The following is an 8,703-nucleotide window of genomic DNA, read 5'->3' on the forward strand; positions in this document are numbered from 1 at the left end:
GCATGTTCATTAATAAATGTCTGAGTGGATTGCAGGTACAGAGGTTGTTACAGTAGGAGGTGTACATCATTATACTAAGCATGTTTCAGATACCACAAGGAGCCCTGCTGAAGAGAAGTTTACAAAATAGGTGTGATAATGTTTCATATATATATCAAATATTAAATAAGATAACTTATGAGCTATTACAAAGCAATATATGATTTTACAAAAAGAGGTATGTAAGTGCAATGAGTTCCATGGACAAAGAAAGTTGATGACAGGGGAGAAAGATGAGTTGTATTCCTATTCATTTGAAAAATTTAATAATTTTTAGGTCGACCCTTTTGTACTTTCCTAATTATCTTTCAGCAAATAACCTTGATTAGTTTGGTACTTCACATCGTTTTACAGTTATCTCAGTGTCCTTCCAAGTCATATGTGGTCTATTGAGAGTTCTATTGTTCTTTATTTCTATTTAAAATTACAGGACAGAAAGCTTGATTCAATGCTAGCAAACACCTATTTATTTCCTAATCCTTACCTTTTTTGTTTCATTAGTTTCTCCTCTAATTATCTCCCAGAATTTTCTTACAAAATGATGCCACTTAGGAATGAAGACTTGGCATTCCTTACTGGTGCAGAAAAGTTAACTGATTATTTAATCAGTAATTAATTAAAATTATATAATTTTGAAAATTAAAGAAATAACCTATCAGAGTCATATTCTTTTTTTTTTTTTTTTTTGAGACGGAGTCTCGCTCTGTCGCCCAGGCTGGAGTGCAGTGGCGGGATCTCGGCTCACTGCAAGCTTCGCCTCCCGGGTTCACGCCATTCTCCTGCCTCAGCCTCCCAAGCAGCTGGGACCACAGGCGCCCGCCACTACGCCCGGCTAATTTTTTGTATTTTTAGTAGAGACGGGGTTTCACCGTTTTAGCCGGGATGGTCTCGATCTCCTGACATCGTGATCCGCCCGTCTCGGCCTCCCAAAGTGCTGGGATTACAGGCGTGAGCCACCGCGCCCGGCCCAGAGTCATATTCTTAATCAAGTTCTTTAACATCAGAAATATTTTTAGAATACTAAACATAAAATTATGGTCATGTGGTATTTGAATAAATATTAATTTAGTTCAAATTTCATACCATTTCTAAAATACATATTGACATTTACCTATACTGTATGTGAAATATATTAACAATAGATTTGCTTTTCCATGTTTAGACTTTTACATATACTTGTATAAAATAATTCGTTTTCATTTTTAAATTGGGAAGGAGAGGAGTAATACCTCATCACGACTTTTTATTGGTTTTGGTTCATATTAAAGCACATTGACTGCAAAATAACCTGTAATTGCTGTCACCTTTTTTTCTCTGTTCTTCTCTTTGTTGTTGTTGTTCTGCCCCTCTTCTTCCTTTCCTCCTCTTCCTCCTTCTTATCTTGTTCTGTTTCATCGTCTCAGTTTCATAAAGGATGAGTTAATGTGGGTCTATTTCAACAATAAAAAGGGTGTGCAGGCTGGGCACAGTGGCTCATGCCTGTAATCCCCGCACTTTGGGAGGCTGAGATGGGTGGATCACCTGAGGTCAGGAGTTCAAGTCCAGCCTGGCCAACATGGTAAAACCCCATCTCTACTAAAAATACACACAAAAAAATTAGCCAGATGTGGTGATGGGCACCTGTAATCCCAGCTACTTGGGAGGCTGAGGCAGAAAAATCGCTTGAACCTGGGAGGTGGAGGTTGCATGGAGCCGAGATTTCGCCACCGCACTCCATCCTGGGCAACAGAGTGAGACTCCGTCTCAAAAACAGAAAAAAATGGGTGTGCATTTGTCTGTAAAAATATCCTTTTACTAAAATACTTACTGGTATATGACATTTGCAATACCAATAAAAATAAAACTAAATTACAGAAAAAAATCTTTTAATAATACAGTATAGAGGAGAAAAGAAGAGTAGAAGGTAGCTGGACTAATTCAAACAGAGATAAAAAGAGTCATAGCAATAGGCATCATACTGTGAGCAATAGACAAATTCCACAAAGATTAAAAACCTTATGTCTGACAGATTAAGTGGAAAATTGAGCAAATATAGCAGCAGAACTCTAATAACTTTCATAGAAACAAAATGGTTTTAGGAGATAAACTATATCAACTGATGAGTCATAATTTGGCTTATTTGACTGATAAAATTAATTATACTCCATGATAGTGATAGGACATATATACATCTAACCTATCATTCAGATAAATATGCATGGCTCAACAACTCCGTACATTAATGAAAGAAAAACATACGATTAAATATAAAAATTACATTTTTTACATTATGGATACTATGTCTGCTGCTGCCTTTAAACATTATGAAGAGTAAGTCTCTCTGAGAAAGATAGAATATTTTCTTTTTTGAGGCAGTGGAGAATCACAGTAATATCAGGCTGTGGTCAAATTTTAATTATCAAATAGGGCATTATTCAATATGGAAAAGGCAAGAAAGAAAACTCCTCAGCAATGTCTCCCATGTACCCCATATTTATATTTTCTTCTTTTTTATTAATTAACATACTCCTTTATTATTTATTTACTATCTAGTTTGAAATAGATTTGAAATATGCTAAAATTAGAAACATAAATTAAGAATTAAAAATGATGCAATGGAATCATTAAAGCATGAATTTTAAAAATCAATAGTCATATGGTAAAGAGAGATGTTAATATCAAAATGAACTAGGCTAAAATAGTTATAATATAATAAATTAGCTTGAAGTTTAGCTTTTGCCTGAATAGGAAGCAAGTTAAAAAAAAATCAAGGAGATTTTTGAAATTTCCACTACCTGCAATCCAAAATAGCTTGATTATCTTGCAGACATTGTGCTCTGCTCTTTCCCCTGGTGTGCTATTTCCCTCAGTTTTTCCAGAGCTGTGGACATGTTTGTTCTCATTCTCTGGAAGCTATGCAAGTTGTTGGGAAAAACATGCATGCACACACACTCACAGTTTTACTTTCTCCTCCAAATTTATCCTCTATAGTCATGTAATATGTTATTTGAAAACATAAATGTTAAAAATGTAGTTTAAAGATGCGTATTTTCCCTCTATTCCAGGAGGGGAACTTGACCCTGCTTCTATATATAAAAAAATGGAATATATGCTACTTGGAAAATTTTTAAAAATGACTATTAACTGTGAACCCACAGGATTCTATTATTTAAATTATGAGACCCCACACAAAATACAATTTACGGGATTTTTATTTCAAGAGGTTGTTGCAAAAATTGTTTTCTCTATCTTTGTTTTTGAAATTCACTGGAAACAGTACAAAGAAATTAAAAAATACAGTGACACTAGAAAATAGCCACATCCACAGTGTACAAACTTGGGAAATATCTTCTAAGTATAATGATGTATGTAGATTAATTAAAGTAAAATATGGAACTGATAAATATCTCAAGACATATTCAGGATTTTTTTTTCTAAAATTAAGTTATATGGCCTGAAAATGTCAAGGTAATGAGAATGCCTATGACAATGATGTCTAGATAAGTAGCACAGACCATCCTTAGGACTCAAAATGGTAGTGTTGGTAAAGCTAAAGAAAGAATTAACTTCCATTGTTTGTTTGTTTGTTTTCTGTAACCTTACTTTCTAATTTAGAGAAACAATTGGAGATAACTTAGTTTGCAGTAAGGAAGAGTCAAACAGATGTGCATTTTCTAAATAGAATCAGCTAACAGAGATTTTTTTAAAAAATGGAAAAATTGAGACACAGAGAGCTTCATCTAGAGGTATACGGGCTTTCTGCTGTATAGCAGAAATACAGGAGGAGTAACATTGAAAACAGAGAAAATATAATATTAATATCTCTTATTTAGTAGATGTTTAAGCACTACTTATTTAGTAGATGTTTATTTTAAGCACTGTACATTTACTAACCTATTAAAGCCTCTCTACAACCCTATAAAGTAGGTATATCATTATTATTGCCTTTATAGGGACAAAGAAACTGAGGCACAGAGAAATTAAATGACACCCACGATAACTTAGCTGACAAGTATAGTCGGCATTCAAATCAAAGATAGTAGCACATCTCTAGAATTCCCCTATCTACAATGAATGCCATATTCCAAGGATGTAAAACAAAACGTATTAGTATAAGGGAATTTGCGGCAGATACATTCAAATAAATGTTGCTAGTTACCTCTGCTAGTCCTGCCCTAAAATATTATTAAATACATTGATAACCCTGATTAAACCACTCTACGTAAAGAAGGAGTTAAGGAATCAGCAAAGGGTCTCTATAAGGTAGTACAAAACAAAAATGAAGAGGAGAAAACCAGCTAAAGGCAATGCACAAAATATCAGAAAAAATTATCAAGAACATACTTTTTAAAATAAAAATCCCTAATAAAAGATACACTAGTCAAAGAAAACATGAAAGGATTAGATAAAAGAATAGATAATAAAGAGGTAAAAATACAAGTTGCCAGATGTGGAAAAATAATAGAAGTTAAAATAAAGGCATTACAAAAATAAGAGCTATCTTAAAGGCAGAAAAGATAGAATAAAAGCTGCTGGGGATGAATGAATTTGTGAAAAGTCACATCAAAATTAAGTGATTACAGATCAGATGAATTTATATACACAAATTTTATATGTATAGGAATATACATATAAATATATAATATATAATGTGTATATATAATATATGTGTATATATGTGTGTATATAATACACACATATATAAACATAAATATATAAATAAATTATATATTTATATAAATATATAAATATATGAATATATAAATATATGAATATATAAATATATGAATATATAAATATATAAATATATTTATATAAATATATGAATATATAAATATATTTATATAAATATATGAATATATAAATATATTTATATTTATATATAAATTGTATATATATAAAACATATATATATATATATATATATATATATATATATATATATGGAGAGAGAGAGGGATAATTCTTTATCTGAAATGCTTGGGACCAGAAGTATTTCAGATATTAGATTTTTTTGGATTTTGAAATGTTTCGTATACATAATGATATGTGTCAGGGATGTGACACATGTCTAAACATAAAATTCATTTACATTTCATACACATTTTATAAACATAGCCTGGAGGTAATTTTATACAATATTTTAAATAATTTTTTACAGGAAACATTTGTGTACACTGAACCATCAGAAAGCAAAATTGTTGTTTTATCAGCCACCCACTTAATCAATCTGTGCTTGTTTGGCATCACCATCATTTCTGACTCTGAATTTATCTGCTACTGATAAGCAATCATTTTCTTACACTTATTTACACATAAATACTTAATAGTAAAAAAAGACATACAATTTATACAGTGAAAAAAAAATGTGTTCACAGTAACTAAGCAGCACAGTAACATCACCAGAAAACCTGTATCAGCTGTTAAAGCAACCACCGGCTGGGCACAGTGGCTCACGCCTGTAATCCCAGCACTTTAGGAGGCCGAGGTGGGTGGATCACTTGAGGTCAGGAGTTCGAGACCAGCCTGGCCAACATGGAGAAACCCCATCTCTACTAGAAATACAAAAATGAGCTGGGTGTGTTGGTGCGCACTTGTAGTCCTGGCTACTTGTTAAGCTGAGGCAGGAGAATCACTTGAACCTTGGAAACAGAGGTTGCTATGAGCCAAGATGGTGCCATTGTACTCCAGGCTGGGTGACAGAGCAAGACTCTGTCCCCAAAACAAACAAATAAACAAACAAACAAAACAAAGCAACCACTGACAATGGCAGGCTTTCAGTCTCCACCTGTGATGCTATGTTTTGATTAAAAGGTTACTGTACATTGAATTTTATTTTTTTAGATGAAAAGAAACATCAGAAACCATTGAAGAACAAGATATGGTCCTCTAAGAATAAGGAGATCTTCTGATAGATGGCTTTTAAAAATGTTTCCTTCATAGTTATGAGCCTCATTAACAATGGTTTTTGTGTTCAAAGTCTCTCTGATTTTATGAACTGACATGATTTCTTGTTCCACTGTATATACACACTGCTCTAGTGCTTCCATTAACCCATCACACATTTCATCCTGTGGTCTATAGGCACTTTTTTTTTGTACTGTTTACATCATTTTCATTGTCACTATTATCATGATCACTTTGACTCAGAACCACTTTGGCTATTTCACCTTAGTCAAGAAATAAACTGGAGCCTCATTAGGGGTGTTAAAAAACACCTTCAATATTTACTTCTTTCAGCTTACTGAAAGACTCTAAACGTATATATTTTGCATATATAAGAAGGTCAGACATCATTTTTTTCTCACTTGACATGTGGAATTCTTCAAAATCACCACGTTGTTCATCATGATCACTGAACTTAGTCACAGGCAGAGGTCGTACCAGGCATGCACAATTGTGTCTTTAGTCACTGTGTTCCAAGCACTGGCAGCAGCATGTATAACATTCTTCATGCTAAATGCCTTTTGAAAACTCATTCTCTGCTGCTACCATGCCATCCAAAAAGTAATTTTATATTCACTCTTTATTGATTTAAGAATACCCTGATCAAGTGGCTGAATTAATGAAGTCATATTTGGGGGAAAGCACATGGCATAAAAATTATTTTTGATGAGTATTTCAGCTGGGGGACTTGCAGACACATACAGTTATCAAGAAATAACAGGCTTGCAATCATCATTCAGTCCAGTTCCCCTACAGTGAGCATGAGATACTGGTAAAAAATATTTGTGAAATTAATCAGAAAAGATGACCCTGGTGATCCATGCCTTTTTGTTAGCATCACAATGGACTGGTAAGAAGTTAACTCCTTGAAAAGAGAGAGGACTCTTTCGCCTATCTCAGCAAGTTTACACATAGTCAGGCCTGCTGCATTAGCACATCCCAGCACAGTTATTCTCTCTTGAGCATTTTTAATTCCTGTAGGGGCGGTCTCATCAGTGGTAGTCAGTGTCTTTCTGGGATAGTAACACCAAAGCAGTGATGTTTCGTCAATATCACAGGCTTATTCTAGTGTCAGATTTTCATCAGCAGTGACCTTGGCAAACTTGTTAATGGATTCTCCCACTGCTTCACAATCAGCAAATGGTTTACCACCACAAATCTTTTAACATGTACTGCCAAGTCTTTTTAAAAAAATGTCTGCTGCCATCCTGTTGAATATTCACAGTTCTCTTCAGTTCATAGTAATGGTTCTTTGCTTGTTTCATAATCAGCATACCATGAAGTGGCATGTGTGCACTGAAACTGTGATGGAGGCATTCTTTTAATACATAACCAGGATCTTCATTTTTAGCTTTCTGTAGTGTTTTCTATTTTTAATTAACTTCTGTTTAACACTTTCAGCACAGAAGAGACCTTCAACAGTTTATCCTCTGTTGCTTCAAATCATGTATGATGGTCATTTCAACACCATACTCTTCTGAAAGATGTTTTATACTTATACCACTGTTGTTTCTTCAGCAGTTTGACTTTCCGTGCTATAAACATAAATGCTTCCTCCTTCTCTTATCACTGTTATCTACAGAGGTATCTGCAGGCTTTTTTGCCCCTGTATTTTCAACAATAGCTTTATATCACCAAGTAGAGAATAAGCAAAGAAACACAGTGAGGAAAGCACACAGGTCTTGACCTCATGTGGAGAATTATGGGAAACTTGCCATTGGTGTGTCCAGTCTGCACCCACACCTTTTGTGGGTGTGCTTGCATGGGGGAATCTAGGCATGTGCAGAAAAGATATACTGCAATTGAACAGGACTGGGAGGGTCTTTGGTCCCTTGGGGATGTTGAATAAACTGTGTTTTATGCCTGCCTCTGACATGACCTATCACATGTAATCAGGTGTGAAATTTGTGACTTGTAGCATTATGCTGACACTCAAAAAGTTGTGAATTTTGGAGCATTTCTGATTTTGGGTTTTCAGATTTAGAAATATTCAAGCTGTATATAAGTATAAAGGTAGATAAAAGATTCAATTTATGCTTTCTTATTTTTCCTAAAAAATAAACAGAAAAAAACTCAACAGAATTGTCAACTATCTTATAAAAGAAACATTTATTGAATAAAACACATTGTGTCCCAGGCAAAACTGATAAAGAGAAACTAATCTCTGGAAATAACTTGGTAAAGTTACTGTTATTTCAAATAAATAGAAAATTCTGGATTTCTACAGAAAAAAAAAAACCTCACGATAACTTGGCAACTCATGATAAAGACAAAATCAGGCTGGCCACAGCCTTACTTCTTCAGTGCTAGAAGATAGTGGCACATGCAGCAAATAACTGATAATCTAATTGTGTAACTAGAAAAGCTGTTTAAATATAAGAATGACAAACATGAAACACAAAAGAAGTTGAGAAATTTAGTTTACTTGAATCATTATTGAAAATTAAAACTACTCGATGCCATAATCTATTTAATCAGAAGTTGCATCAAAATAAATAACTGGAATGGAGAAGCCATGATATAACGGAGAGGTGAAAAGAGGTGAAAATGCCTTGATGATTTTTAACTACAGAATAAAGGTCAAACTTGTAGGAATTCTGGTTATGGAAAAGACTATTGTATTGTTAACATTAAAATGTAAAAATAATAATTTGAAAATGAGAGTGTGAGAAGACTAGAAAAAAAGCAAGCATAATGTAATCAATTTATTTTATTTCAATTCAAGAATTAAAAGGAACTA

At 33.6% G+C, this 8,703-nt stretch overlaps 2 annotated features.

Annotated features, from left to right (window-relative positions):
* Positions 371–871: an enhancer, noted in NCBI's record as "H3K4me1 hESC enhancer chr4:115124070-115124570 (GRCh37/hg19 assembly coordinates)". NCBI's record gives its function as "activates a minimal SCP1, AML or CMV promoter by ChIP-STARR-seq in primed H9 embryonic stem cells {active_cell/tissue: H9 hESC(primed)}" and the evidence as "EXISTENCE:reporter gene assay evidence [ECO:0000049][PMID:30033119]".
* Positions 872–1,372: an enhancer, noted in NCBI's record as "H3K4me1 hESC enhancer chr4:115124571-115125071 (GRCh37/hg19 assembly coordinates)". NCBI's record gives its function as "activates a minimal SCP1, AML or CMV promoter by ChIP-STARR-seq in primed H9 embryonic stem cells {active_cell/tissue: H9 hESC(primed)}" and the evidence as "EXISTENCE:reporter gene assay evidence [ECO:0000049][PMID:30033119]".

Source organism: Homo sapiens, chromosome 4 (genome assembly GCF_000001405.40).
Source record: "Homo sapiens chromosome 4, GRCh38.p14 Primary Assembly".
In the NCBI taxonomy this organism is placed as follows: Eukaryota; Metazoa; Chordata; class Mammalia; order Primates; family Hominidae; genus Homo; species Homo sapiens.